Source organism: Homo sapiens, chromosome 19 (assembly GCF_000001405.40).
Source record: "Homo sapiens chromosome 19, GRCh38.p14 Primary Assembly".
NCBI classification, from domain to species: domain Eukaryota; kingdom Metazoa; phylum Chordata; class Mammalia; order Primates; family Hominidae; genus Homo; species Homo sapiens.
This window is the reverse complement of record NC_000019.10, coordinates 15,079,020-15,093,898: the sequence shown is the minus strand read 5'-3', so window position 1 is coordinate 15,093,898 and position 14,879 is coordinate 15,079,020. Positions and strand designations below refer to the sequence as shown.

At 47.2% G+C, this 14,879-nt stretch overlaps 1 protein-coding gene across 1 annotated transcript; it reads right to left on the bottom strand.

Moving 5' to 3' along the window:
- Positions 1-928: 928 nt before the first annotated feature.
- OR1I1 (olfactory receptor family 1 subfamily I member 1) lies at positions 929-11,688 on the bottom strand. The gene is made up of 2 exons (NM_001004713.2): positions 11,623-11,688; positions 929-6,846 (listed from the first exon to the last, which is right to left on the bottom strand). The coding sequence occupies exon 2, from the start codon at positions 6,831-6,833 to the stop codon at positions 5,766-5,768; it is 1,068 nt and encodes a 355-aa protein (NP_001004713.1). The 5' UTR covers positions 6,834-6,846; positions 11,623-11,688; the 3' UTR covers positions 929-5,765.
- Between the last annotated feature and the right edge of the window lie 3,191 nt (positions 11,689-14,879).

Sequence of the window (14,879 nt, the reverse complement as noted above, 5' to 3'; positions counted from 1 at the left end):
GGTGCGTGGCCAGAAAACATACATTGAGTGGCTACCGTACTAATCATAGGGGCACAGAGGTGCAAAGATAAACAAGATAACACTATTTCAGGTCCCAGCTCCCAGCTCAGTCAAATGGGTGAAACAGACATTAATCAAAGGGTTACACAAACTAATATAAAACCACTGCAGTGAGGAGGCCGGGTGCAGCAGCTAACACCTGTAATCCCAGAACTTTGGGGGGCTGAGGCAGGTGGATCACTTGAGGCCAGGAGTTCGAGACCAGCCTGGCAAACACGGTGAACCCCGTTTCTACTAAAAATACAAAACATTAGCCAGGCATGGTGATGCGTGCCTGTAATCCCAACTACTCGGGAGGCTGAGGCAGGAGAACCATTTGAACCCAGGAGGTGGGGGTTACAGTGAGCCGGGATCGCCCCACTGCACTCCAGACTGGGAGACAGAGCAAGACTCTGTCTCAAAACAAAACAAAAGACCCCACAAAACCACTGCAGTGATGAAGAGATCACTAATGATGAGTGATGATGAGAGAGGGGATAGCGAGTGTAACATTAGGGCAACTGATGTAGCTGGGCAAGGGATGGAGGTTAGGGGAGGCTTCCTTGAGGAAGTGGAGTTTGTGCTGAAATCTCAATGCCAAGCAGGAATTTACTCAGGAGGGGTCAGGAAGAGGGAACAGCATTTGCAAAGGTCCTGTGGCACCAGCTCCTTATCTTCTGATGGTTTTCAGCCCACTTCACCTCTCACTTTTTGGTCTTTCTTGGTCCCCTTAACTCTTGTCACTCCCATCCATCTATACGAGGATTGGCAACCTATGGCCCATAGGCTAAATCCAGCCCTTGAAATAAAAATAGTTTTGCATTTATTTTTATTTATTTATTTATTTTTTAAGTTTTTTAGAGACAGTGGTCTTACTCTATCCCCCAGGCTGGAGTGCGGTGGTGCAATCATAGCTCACTGCAGCCTTGACCTCCTGGGCTTAAGTGATCCTCCTTCCTCAGCCTCCTGAGTAGCTGAGACTACAGGCATGCACCACCATGCCCAGCTAATTAAAAAATTTTTGTAGAGATGGGGGAGGTCTCACTATGTTGCCCACTCCAGTCTCGAACTCCTGGCTTCAAGCAATCCTCCTCCCTTGGCCTCTCAAAGTGCTGGGATTACAGGCATGAGTGAATGCACCTGGCCTAGAGTAGTTTTAACATTTTAAAAGTGGTTGAAAACAAACCCAAAGGCTACAAGGTATGACATGTACTATGATATGAAATGGAAGCTTCTGTGTTTATAAACAAAGTTTTAGTGGAACACAGCCAAGCCCATTCGTTGATGTCTCATCTATGGCTGCTTTCGCCAGACAGCAGCAGAGTTCAGTCATTGCAACGGAGATGGTAAGGTCCCTAAAGCTGACAATATTGACGACCTGGACCTTGACAGAAAAAGTTTGCTGACTCCAGATCTATGGCATGGATAACTGGCAGGTTCGTTCTGAAGCACAGCCCCACCCCCTATCCTCCTTAAACCTTGTCATGGTCCCACTCCCCGTGGTCCACACACCGTGTTACTCCCAGTGCCCTCCACGGGCCCCCTGCAAACCCAGCTTCCCTGTCACTCTGGGCTCAGGCCACACCAGTCTCCGTGATTTCTTTAAACAACACAGGCTCCTTCTCATCATGGAAACTTTGCACCTGTTGTGCCCTTCCAGGGGGAGATTACACCTAAGGGCCATGGACCTGGGCCAGTTCACAGCTAGAATACAAGTTTCCGGGGAAAAAAAAAAAACAACCAAAAACCAAAAAAAAAAAAAAAAAAAAAAAGCGTTTTAAATCCAATTTGTGAAATGACATTATTGCCACCTAGTGGCCACTTCTCTAACTGTAGTTTTCAGAGCTTTTAGGGCGGTTGGGAAGGTTCCCTCCTGGACACAGTGGCTAGAGCGGCACCCCAAATCTGGTTCTCCTGTATCTCTGTACCTAAAGCCTATTTGGGTCCCGGTTATCTACAGGACCCCCATCTAGCCCAGTGATGCTCAAACTTTTAAATTACAAACTTTTTTTTTTTTTTTTTTTTTTTTTTGAGACAGAGTCTCGCTCTGTCACCCAGGCTGGAGTGCAGTGGGGCGATCTCGGCTCACGCAAACTCCGCCTCCCGGGTTGACGCCATTCTCCTGCCTCAGCCTCCCAAGTAGCTGGGACTACAGGTGTGGGCCACCACGCCTGGCTAAGTTTTGTATTTTTTTTTAAATTGAGGAGGAGTCTCGCTCTGTCACCCAGGCTGGGGTGCAGTGGCGTGGCCTTGGCTCACTGCAAGCTCCGCCTCCCGGGTTCAGGCCATTCTCCTGCCTCAGCCTCCCGAGTAGCTGGGACTACAGGTGCCCGCCAACATGTCCGGCTAATTTTTTGTATTTTTAGTAGAGATGGGGTTTCACCATGTTAGCCAGGATGGTCTTGATCTCCTGACCTCATGATCCGCCCACCTCAGCCTCCCAAAGTTCTGGGATTACAGGCATGAGCCACTGTGCCCGGCCTAATTTTCGTATTTTTAGTAGAGAGGGGGTTTCACCATGTTGGTCAGGATGGTCTCGATCTACTGACCTTGTGATCTGCCCGCCTCGGCCTCCCAAAGTGCTGGGAATACAGGTGTGAGCCACCATGCGCAGCCTGCTGTTACTTTCAGTGGCAAAACCACAATTACTTCTGCACCTACCTTGTAGGGGTGTTGCTTAACACTTATTGAGATTGTGCATATAAAGGAGTTAGCATTGTTCAGATAATAAATCTCGGTTGTCATCATCATTATTGTCATCATGCTGATACCCAGTAAGTGAATCCATGCAATCTAAATCCTTCATCCTTTTCTCCAGTTCTAGCCCAGGGTCCCTTGGCCAGAACACATGGTCAATTGTAAACTTGAGAGGATGTACTGGGACACTTTGTAGGTTTTGTAGGTTGCTGACATTTCTTAAACTAACTGCATTTGTTTTCTAGCAATGTTGCAACAAAGTACCACAAATCAGGCCGAGTGTGGTGGTTTACACCTGCAATCCCAGCACTTTGTGAAGCCGAGGAGGGCAGATCTCTTGAGGCCGGGAGTTTGAGACCAGCCTGGGCAACATAGTGAGACCCTGTCTCTACAAATATATATAGCTGATTGCAGTGGCATAGGCCTGTAGTCCCAACTACTCAGGAGGCTGAGGCAGGAGGATTGCTTGAGCCCAGGAGTTTGAGGTGAGGTTGCACTTTAGCTATGATTGCACCACTGTACTCCAGCCTGGGTGACACAGTAGATCCTGTCTGTCTCTAAAAGAAAAAAAAATTTAAAAATTACCATGAACTAGGTGACTTAAACAATAGAAATTTGTTGTCTTACAGTTCTGGAGGTTAAGAGTCCGAGATCAAGGTGTTGGGCCAGGTGCAGTGGCCCACGCTTGTAATCCCAGCACTTTGGGAGGCTGAGGTGGGCAGATCACTGGAGGCCAGGAGTTTGAGACCAGTCTGGCCAACATAGTGAAATCCCATCTCTACTAAAAACACAAAATTAGCTGGGCGTGGTGGTGGGTGCCTGTAATCCCAGCTACTTGGGAGGCTGAGGCAGGAGAATTGCTTGAACCTGGGAGGTGGAGGTTGCAGTGAGCCAAAATCATGCCACTGCATCCAGCCGGGATGACAGAGCAAGACTCCGTCTCAAAAAAAAAAAAAAAAAAAAAAGATCAGTTGTCAGCAGCTTTGATTCCTTGGTTCCTTCTGAGGGCTGAGAGGGATAGCCTGTTCCACGCCTCTCCTGGCTTCTGGTGGTCTGCAGGCAGTCCCTGGCATTCCTTGGCTTGTAGGAGCATCACCCCAATCTCTGCCTCCATCTTCATGTGGCGGTCTCCATGTGTGTGGGTGCCTGTGTCCAAATCTCCCCTTTTCATAAGGACGCCAGTCGTATCAGATTAGGGACCAACCTAATGACCTTACTGTAATCTAATGACCTCTGTAAACACCCTATCTTCAAATATGGTCACATTCTGAGGTCCTTGGGGTTAGGACTTCAACATATCTTTTTTATTTTATTATTATTACTTTTGCAGACAGGGCCTTGCTCTGTTTCCCAGGCTGGAGTGCAGTGGCAGGAACATAGCTCATGCAGCCTCGACCTCCTTGGCTCAAGAGGTCCTCCTGTCTCAGCCTCCCGAGTAACTAAGATGACAGGTGCACACCACCACACCCAGGTAATTTTTTCTTTTTTCATTTTTATTTTTTGTAGGGATGAGATCTCACTATGTTGTTCAGGCTGGTCCTGAACTCCTAGCTTCAAATGATTCTCCCTACTCAACCTCCCAAAGTGCCAGAGTTTACAGGTGTGAGCCACTGCGCCTGGCCTCCCACGTATCTTTTTTTGGGAGCCACAGTTCAACCCATAACACTAACTTTTTAAGTGCCCCGGGCCACCTGATCTGCTGTGGCTGACCCTGCGTGTAGAATCATACTGGGTTCAGAGTCAGGCGATGAATGTCACAGGAAACACATAGATTTTGGAGCTAGGCTAGGGTCTGTGTTCCCAAACTACGATTGATGGACCGTCTGCATCAGAGTCCCCTTGACTGGGGGTTGTGGGGAGACAGGAAGCCTGTTGGGAATTGAGAAAGTAAGCCCCAACCACAGTCATAGTTACAAGTGGAGGTCTCAAGACCCCCCAGGAGGCTGAGGCTTGCTGGCTGACTAAGCGAACAGCACGTGAGCTAATCTCACTTGCAAATATTTTCAAAGTTCTTCCACAACACTTAGGAAACACTGGCTAATACATGGGCTGTCTGTATCTACCTATCTATCTATCTATCTATCTACCTACCTCCTCTATCTCTATCTATCCATCCATCTATCTATCATCTATCTGTTGATCGATTGATCAATCGATCGACTGACCTACCTACCTATCTCATCTATCTATCTATCTATCTATCTATCTATCATCTATCTACTTATATGATCTATCTATCAATCAATCATCTATCTGTCTGTCAATAGATAGATCTATCGATCGGTTGACCTACCTACCTACCTACCTATCTATCCTATCTATCTATGTATCTATCTGTATATCTATCTATCTATCTATCTATCTATCTATCTATCTATCTATCTATCTACATATCTTATCTATCCACCCTATCTACCTATCTTATCTTATCCTCTCTATCTATCTGTCTGTCTATCTATCTATCTATCTATCTATCTATCTATCTATCTATCTATCTACCTATGAGTGACAGATCTTGCTCAGTTTCCCAAACTGCTGAAGTGCAGTGGTGCAGTCATAGCTCACTGCAACCTTGAACTCCTGGGCTCAAATGATCTGCCTGCCTCAGCCTCCTGATTAGCTGAGACTACAGGCGTATACCACCATGTCTTGCTAAAGTGATTTTGTGTGTGTGTGTGGAGATAGGGTCTCTGTATGTTGCCCAGGCTGGTCTCAAACTCCTGGCCTCAAGTGATCCTTCCACCTTGGCCTCCCAAAATGCTGGGATCACAGGCTTGAGCTTCCACACCTGGCCTTTGTCAATACTAAAATGAGTGTAGCTACGTCTCTTGTTTTCAACTACTCTTATTCACATAGCAATCCTAAAAGGCTGATCCTCCAGGAGGGCTAATTTCAGGCCAGTTTGATCCTTGCTATTCTGATCTTTTTGGGGAAGATAAATCCTGGGGAAAATGCACACCTTTCCTTTGGGTGCTCATACACTTTGTTCATCTCTTTATGACACATTTATCACGTTGTACTGGAAGGATTTATTCCATGTCTCTGTTCCCAGCTAGACTCTGAACTCCTCCAGGGTAGGGGATGGGATGCATCTCTGTGTCCCTAGCAGCCAACAGTGATCCTGGAACATGATAAACATCCAATAACTGTTCTGGCCTAGGACAGGGGACGGCCACTTTGCCGATGAGCTTCCCCAGGGCTGCCTTCATATCCTTGTTCCGTATGCTGTAGATAAAGGGGTTGAGCATGGGGATGAACACCCCACACATTAGGGCGGCTGCCTTGTCCTTCTGGGAGGAGCTGGGGGATGTGGGCTGTAAGTACACAGCAAAGATGGTCCCATAGGACAGTGACACCACAGTGAGGTGTAAGCCACAGGTGGAGAAGGCTTTCCACTTGCCCCGAGTAGAAGGGATCTTAAAGACTGTCCAGAAAATGCGGATGTACGAGAGAAGGATGCAGGAGAATGGGCTGGTGCCCACGACAATGCCAAAAGCAAAGATCACCAGCTCGTTGGTGTGCGTGTCTGAGCCGGAGAGCTTCAGCAGGGGCATGAGGTCACAGAAGAAGTGGGAGATTTCAGAGCCGGCGCAGAAGGTCAGTTGAGCCATGAGGCAGGTGTGTATGAGAGACTGGAGGTTGGTGATCATCCATGATGCTCCCAGCAGCAGCCCACAGACAGGGGAGCACATGAGAACCAAGTAACGCTGTGGGTGGACAATGGCCACGAAGCGGTCGATGGCCATTACTGCCAGGAGAAAGCTGTCCATGGTCCCGAACAGGTGGAAGGCATACATCTGGGTGAGGCAGCCCACAAAGGGGATGGCTCTGCTCTGAGCCTGGATGTTCGCTAGCATCTTGGGGACGGTGGTGGAGGATAATAGGGTGTCAACGAGTGAGAGGTTGAAGAGAAAGAAGTACATGGGTGTGTGGAGGTGAGAGTCCGTGATGATGGCCAGGATAATGAGGGCATTTCCAATGATGGTGACCAGGTATGTGGAGAGGAACATTGTGAAGAGGAGGGTCTGATGCTCTGGCTTTTCTGAGAGTCCCTGGAGGAAGAATTCTGAGATTTCGGTTTGCTTTTCTGGTTCCATGTATGGTCTGTGACTAGTGGGAACAAAAAGGGAGAAAAACCACACAGAGCCAGGTGTCAGAGATGCCATTCTGGTCCCAGCTTCCCACGGAAACCTATACTGTTCTGTGAAAATTCCATCAAATCCATCAAATTCCTTTGTGTTCAGTTAACCTCAAGCCATCTTCAGTGGGCTTCTGTTGCTCCTCAAGCCAAGTCATTCATGCCTGAGACAGTCAGGGTCTCAAGGATCTAACGGAGTCGCTCATAGTCAACTTGGATGTTCTCTATAAACACTTTTGCTTCCTTCAGTGGAGCAAAGCTTCATAGAAAACAAAACCAAGTGGCCCGCGCCTGTAATCCCAGCACTTTGGAAGGCTGAGGCGGGCAGATTGCTTGAGGTCAGGAGTTCGAGACCAGCCTGGCCAACATGGTGAATCCCCGTCTCTACTAAAAATACAAAAAAATTAATCAGGCGTGGTGGTGGGCGCCTGCAATCCCAGCTACTCTAGAGGCTGAGGCAGGTGAATAGCTTGAACCCGGGAGGCAAAGTTTGCAGCGAGCAGAGATTGTGCCACGGCTCTCTAGCCTGGGCTATAGAGCAAGATTCTGTCTCAAACAAAAAACAAAAAACAAAAATAAAAAAAGAAAATCAAGCAGAATCAAACCTCAACAAAAACTCTATACAGTAAAGGGAACCTGACCATCTTCTGTTTTTCCTTCTCTTCCTTTCCTGTGTTCTCTCCCTGTTTTCTTTTTCCTTTTTCTTTTTTTGAGACAGAGTCTTGCTCTGTCACCCAGGCTGGAGTTCAGTGGCACGATCTCAGCTCACTACAACCTCTGCCTCCTGGGTTCAAGTGATTCTCGTGCCTCAGCCTCCCAAGTAGCGGGGATTACAGGCACGCACCACCATGACTGGCTAATTTTTGTATTTTTAGTATAGACGGGCTTTCACCATGTTGGCCAGGCTGGTCTCAACTCCTGACCTCAAGTGATCTACCCGCCTTGGACTCCCAAGGTGCTGGGATTACAGGCATGAGGCACCGCGCCTGGCCATCTCCCTCTTTTCTTTCCTCCCCCCTCAACCCTCCTTCCCCTTCATCCTTCCACCAACAATATGTAATCTTTAACATCAGTTTTGTGTTAAAAACCGATGAATGGATAAAGAAAATGTGGTAGGAATATACAATGGAATACTATTTATTCAGCCATGGAAAAAAGAGGAAATTCTATCATTTGCAACCATATAGATGAAACTGAAGGACATTCTGTTACATAAAATAGCCAGGTACAGAAAGACAGATACCACATGGTCTCACTTATATGTGGAATTTAAAATGGCCAATCTCATAGAAGCAGAGTAGAATGGTGGTTACCAGGGGCTGGGGGCGGGAGGTGGGTGTTAGGGAGATATTGATCAAAGAATACAAAATTTCAATTAGATGGGAGGCATAATTCAAGAGATCTATTGTACAGCATAGTGACTATAGTTAATAACAATGCATTGTATACCAGAGAAACTCAGAGTCAATTTTATGTTCTCACCACCAAGAAATGATAGGTACAGATGTTCTGAGGCTGATAATGGGGTCATACATTGAAAATGTCATAAGTCAGACCTGGCGTGGTGGCTCATTCTTATAATCCCAGCACTTTGGGAGGCCGAGGCAGGGGGATCACCTGAGGTCAGGAGTTTGAGAGGTCAGCCTGGCCAACAAGGTGAAGCCCCGTCTCTACTGAAAATACAAAATTAGCTAGGCGTTGTGGTGCATGCCTGTAATCCCAGCTACTTGGGAGGCTGAGGCAGGAGAATCGCTTGAACCTGGGAGGCAGAAGTTGCAGTGGGCTGAGATTGAGCCACTGTACTCCAGCCTTGGCAACAAGAGCGAAACTCTGTCTCAAAAAAAAAAATATATATATATATATATATATATATATATATATATATATATATATAAGTCAAAAATGCATTGAACATACCTAACCTACCAAACATCACAGCTTAGCCTAGCCCACCTTCAATGTGCTCAGAACACTTACGTTAGCCTACAGTTAGGCAAAATTATCTAATACAAGATCTATTTAATTTAATTTAATTTATTTTGAGACAGGGTCTCACTCTGTCACCCAGGCTGCAGTGCGGTGGCACAATCACAGCTCACTGCAGCCTGTACCTCCTGAGCTCAGGTGTTCCTCCCACCTCAGCCTTCCTAGTAGCTGGGACAGGTGTTTTTATTTTGCCCTCAGCAATAATGATATCTGTAATGGGTTAAACCTTCTTAGGAGCCAGTTTCTTTCTTTTTTTTTCCCCCAGCTATTGGCTGCTCAGCATGATTTTTATTTTATTTAATTTTATCATTTTATTTTAAGTTCCAGGATACACGTGCAGGACGTGCAGGTTTGTTACATAGGTAAACGTGTGCCATAGTGGTTTGCTGCACCTATCAAGCCATCACCTCGGTATTAAGCCCAGCATGCATTAGCTATTTATCCTGATGAGGAGCCGGTTTCTTTCTTTCTTTTCTTTTTTGAGATGGAGTCTTACTCTGTCACCCAAGCTGGAGTGCAGTGGCGCGATCTTGGCTCACTGCAACCCCCGCCTCCTGGGTTCAAAAGATTCTCCTGCCTCAGCCTCCTGAGTAGCTGGGATGACAGGCGAGCACCACCACGCATGGCTAATTTTTGTATTTTTAGTAGAGATGGGGTTTCACCATGTTTGTCAGACTGGTCTTGAACTCCTGACCTCATCATCTGCCCGGCTTGATCTCTCAAAGTGCTGGGATTACAGGCGTGAGCCACTGCAGCCAGCCAGGAGCCAGTTTCTTAATGCATAGGTCTTACAATAACTCCCACAGGGAGATTGTGTTAGCTACAATTTACAGTGAGCAGACTGGGGCTGAGCGAGCTGCCAGGGGCACTCAGCTTGCAAGTGCCTGATCTCGCCTTTGAATTTAGACTTATTTTCACTCTCATACTCCACTGCCTCCCTAAGAATGGCCACTCTCACCTCTTTATGAGGCATTTCGAAGCTAAATTCTGTGCTGTCAACACGTGCAAGGGAAAAATATTCAATTACAAGCATTTACACGTGTTTCTTTTCGAGACAGAGTCTCACTCTGTCACCTAGGCTAGAGTACAGTGGCACGATCTCGGCTCACTGCAACATCCGTCTCCTGGGTTCAAGTGATTCTTGTGCCTCAGCCACCCGAATAGCTGGGATTACAGGTGTGCATCACCACGCCCGATTAATTTTTGTATTTTTAGTAGAGACGGGGTTTCGCCTCTACTAAGCCTGTTGGCCAGGCTGGTCTTGAACTCCTGACCCGGTGATCCGCCCACCTTGGCCTCCCAAAGTACTGAGATTACAGGCGTGAGCCCAGTAATCTCATCATTTCAGCGCCCAGCCGATGAAAGGGGTTTTTAGGAAGGTTAGCAGCATAATCTCCTTGGTAACCCCAAGAGGCCTTCAGCAAAGCCCTATGTTAACTTTTTGAGGCTTTTTAGTGTTGGACTTGAGGTTTTTGCAATGCAATGCTTGGTTTTCTCTAGGCTGGATAGAATACTGCGATTCCCTTCCTGGCAACATATTTGTAACAGTCCTCAGTTGTTGACTTGGGTTGCATAGAGCAGCGGTTCTCAACCTTGAGCACGCTTCAGGGTCACCTGGAAGGCTTGTTAAAACACAAAAAGCGGGCCAGGCATGGTGGCTCACACCTGTAATCCCAGCACTTTGGGAGGCTGAAGTGGGAGAATTGCTTGAGGCCAGGAGTTCAAGACCAGCCTGGCAGACAAAGTGAGGCCACCCCACCCCCAATCCCGCCCTGGATCTACAAAAAATAAAACAATCTGCTGGGCATGGTGGCATGCTTCCATAGTCCCAGCTACTCAGAAGGCTGAGGTGGGAGAATCCCTTGAGTCCAGGAGTTAGAGACCAACCTGGGCAACACAGTGAGACCCCCATCTCTACAAAATAAAAAATTAGCTGGACATGGTGGCACACACCTGTTAGTCCCAGCTGCTTGGGGGGCCAAGGTAGGAGGATCTCTTGAGCCCGGGAGTGTGAGACCATCCTGGGCAACATAGGAAGATCCCTGCCTCTACGAAAATAAAATTAGCCAGGCATGGTGGTATATGTCTGTTATCCCAGGTACCCGGGAGGCTGAGGAGGGAGGATCACTTGAGCTTGGGAGGTCGAGGCTGCGATGAGCTATGATAATGCCACTGCACTCCAGACTGGGCAACAGAGCGAGACCCTGTCTCAAAAACAGAAAGAACAAACAAACAAACAAAACAATCCCCCCGCCCCCTCCCCCCCGCTCCCAAACTCATCATACACAAAAAGCTAAGCCCTTTCCCTGAAATGTCTGGTGTAAGAACCAGCACTTCTAGATAGTTTCCAGAGGATGCTGGTGCTTCTAGCCCAGGGACCACACTTGGGGAGCTGCTGCATTGGAGAAACTTGTTTCTCAAGACCTCTCCTATCTGTGCAGGTGTCCTGCAGCTGCAGACCCTCAGTGCTTTTCCTCCACATATCCTGCCACAGAGGGTCTGCCGTCTGCGTGCTTTGTCCACTCAGAGAGTCTAGACTTGGTCTCAGTCTCTTCTCTCTCTCTCGGCCTCTAGGAAGGAGACAGATTCCTCTCCCACAACCCTCCACCCCCACCCTCAGCTCAATCCTTTCCCCATCCCTCACCTGCTCACCAGGATGGCATCACCAAGGGGAGGGTCCCGGGAAGCCTCCTTCTCCACCAACTGCTAGAGGATCCCGAGGTCAGCACTAAACCCCTAGGAAGGGCATGGGGGCTACTCACCTGTGATCGCTGGGGTTAGCCTGATGTCTATGGGAAGGATTCATATGTGTACCCCCCCGCCCCCAGACTCTGCAGGTGAGTGGGGGAGCCAGGGGAACATCAGGGTATTTATAGTCTGGGGACTCTAGGAGACTTCGTCCCCATAGCTCCTTGTTAAGGAAGCGGATGCTAATTATTTTGTTTCTCCTCTGCCACATGTGACCTGTTCTTTTGGAGATGGGTGTGCTTTGGGATCATCGAGTGGGTAAGAAGAGGAAACAGTGACTAGGGATTCACTCTCACTAGGACATCTCCCTACGGTCTCCTTCCAGCTCAGGCTGAGCTTCATGGAAGCTCCCAGGCAGAGAGGTCTGGGGGGTCCCAGACTCCAGTCGGGCACTCAGATGCCTGAATCTGAGAGGTCCTTTCATTCATTGCATTATGGAAGAAACTGGCTCATTAAGGAAAGCTCCGAAGAGTATCAATCAATCAATAAATCGGTATTAAATAAATAAATTTATCAAACACTTTTTTTTGAGATGGAGTGTCACTCTTTCACCCAGCCTGGAGCACAGTGGAGCAATCTCGGCTCACTGCAACCTCCACCTCCTGGGTTCTAGCAATTCTCCCTCCTCAGCCTCTTGAGTAGCTGGAATTACTGGTGCCCACCACCATGCCCAGCTAGTCTTTGTATTTTTAGTAGAGACAGGGTTTCACCATGTTGGAAAGACTGATCTCAAACCTCAAGTGATCTGCTCTCCTCGGTCTCCCAAAGTGCTGGGATTACAGGCCTGAGCCACTGTACCCGGCCTATCAAACACTTCTTGATCACCTGCTTGGCACTGGAGTTGGACACGGTGGCTCATGCCTATAATCCTAGCTACTTGGGAGGCCAAGGTTGGAGAATCCCTTGAGCCTAGAAGTTTGAGACCAGCTTGGGCAAAACAGCAAGACCTTATATCTACAAAAAATTTAAAAAAATTAGCCAGGATTGGTGGCACATGCCCGTGGTCTCAGTTACCCAGGAGGCTGAGGTGGGAGGATCACTTGAGCCCTGGAGGTTGAGGCTGCAGTGAGCTGTGATCGCACCACTGCATTCCAACCTGGACAACGGAGTGAGACCCTGTCTCTTAAAAAAAAAATCCTTCCTATCAGCCACACAGAACGTGTGTAGGATACTTGTTGAAATTCTCCTAGGGGCTTTAGTAAATATTAGAATTACTTTCCCTAATAATATTGGCTGTTGGACTGTTGGCTCTTGGATCGTAACTCTGTGGGGAGGTCAGCTTCAAAGCAAGAACAAGGTAGACCAACTTCGCGTTGGACATATGGGGATATGAGTAGGTGCCAATCCCACTGTCATTATTTTTTTAAAATTAAAATTATTTTCAGAGGCTGGGCATGGTGGTTCACACCTGTAATCCTAGCACTTTGGGAGGCCGAGGCAGGTGGATCAATTTAGCTCAGGAGTTTGAGACCAGCCCGGCCAACATGGTGAAACCCTGTCTCTACTAAAAATACAAAATTAGCTGGACGTGCCTATAGTCCCAACTACTCAGGAGGCTGAGGTGGGAGGATCCCTTGAGCCCGGGAGGTGAAGTTTGCAGCAAGTTGAGATCATGCCACTGCACTCCAGCCTGGGTGACAGAGTGAGACCTTGTCTCAAAAAAAAAAAAAAAATCAATTTGAGCCCAAAGGTTGGGGAAAAACCCACCTAAAAAGTCCATAAGGTGGCCAGACATGGTGGCTCACACCTGTAATCCCAGCACTTTGGGAGGCTGAGGCGGGTGGATCACTTGAGGTCGGGAGTTCGAGACCAGCCTGGGAAAAATGGTGAAACCCAGTCTCTACTAAAAGTACAAAAATTAGCTGGGCATGGTGGGTGGGCATCTGTAATCCTAGCTACTTGGGAGGCTGAGGCAGGAGAATCACTTGAACCTGGGAGGCGAAGATTGCAGTGAGCCGAGATTGTGCCACTGCACTCCAGCCTGGGTGACAGAGCAAGACTCCATCTCAAAAAAAAAAAAAAAAAAAAGTCCCACTGGGTGAACAAACTTTTGCCACTGTCCGTGGTTCTGAAAAAAAATTATTTTGCCCAAAGCCATGGTAGGTAGGACATTGGTGTCTCCCATCCGAACTCTCCTGGGAATTCTGAAACCAGTTATAGAAGGAAGAGTGAAGAGAGATAAGGAGGAATAAAAGATATATTCAGGAAGAAAAAAGCCTTTCTTTTTGATATGACTCTATAGAAAATGTTATCAAAAATAACATTTCCCCCCCTGGGAAATTGGTATAAGGCAGGGCCAGTTATACACTCCCAGAGTCCAGTTTTCTAGTCATGTTGGTTTGGAGTCCAGTGCTGATTGCTTTGGGAAAATCTTAGAGTCTTTATGTGGCAATGAGTCTGGTACCAGGAAACCATCAATGAACATTGGGAGGGAGGAAGAAGGGGGTGGTCTACTTCATTCTATCCTCTCTAGGAGTGAGGTCCAGATTTCTTCTCTCAGCATCTTGGGCTTCAGCCACTCTCCACCCATTCTTCCAAGCACAAATGCTTTTTTTAAAATCCAACACCTAAAAGGTTTTTATATAGTCCCTGATTTTCTTCCTTGATTAGAATCTAGGAGAGATGGGGATTCCTGAATTCTGGCAAGGGTCAAGGGCTCCTGATGTGGCAGTGGTCAAGTAGAACGGACAGTCTTTTAAATTTTTATATGTACTTAGTTATTTATTATTTTAATTTAAGTTCTGGGATACATGTGCTGAACGTGCAGGTTTGTTACGTAAGTATACATGTGCCATGGTGGTTTGCTGCACCTATCAACCCATCATCTAGGTTTTAAGCCCTGCGTGCATTAGATATTTGTCCTAATGCTCTTCCTTCCCTTGCCCCACACCACCTGACAGGCCGTGGTGTGTGATGTTCCCTTCCCTGTGTCCATGTGTTCTCATTGTTCAACTCCCACTTATGAGTGAGAACATGTGGTGTTTGGTTTTCTGTTCCTGTGTTAGTTTGCTGAGAATGATGGTTTCCAGCTTCATCCATTTTCCTGCAAAGGACATGAACTCATTGTTTTTTATGGCTGGAGAGTATTCCATGGTGTGTATGTGCCACATTTTCTTTATCCAGTCTATCACTGATGGGCATTTGGGTTGGTTCTAAGTCTTTGCTATTGTGAATAGTGCTGCAATAAACATACATGTGCATGGGTCTTTAGAGCAGAATAAATAGCAGAATCCTATTTATTTATTTTTTGATAGAGTTTTTTCAAAATATT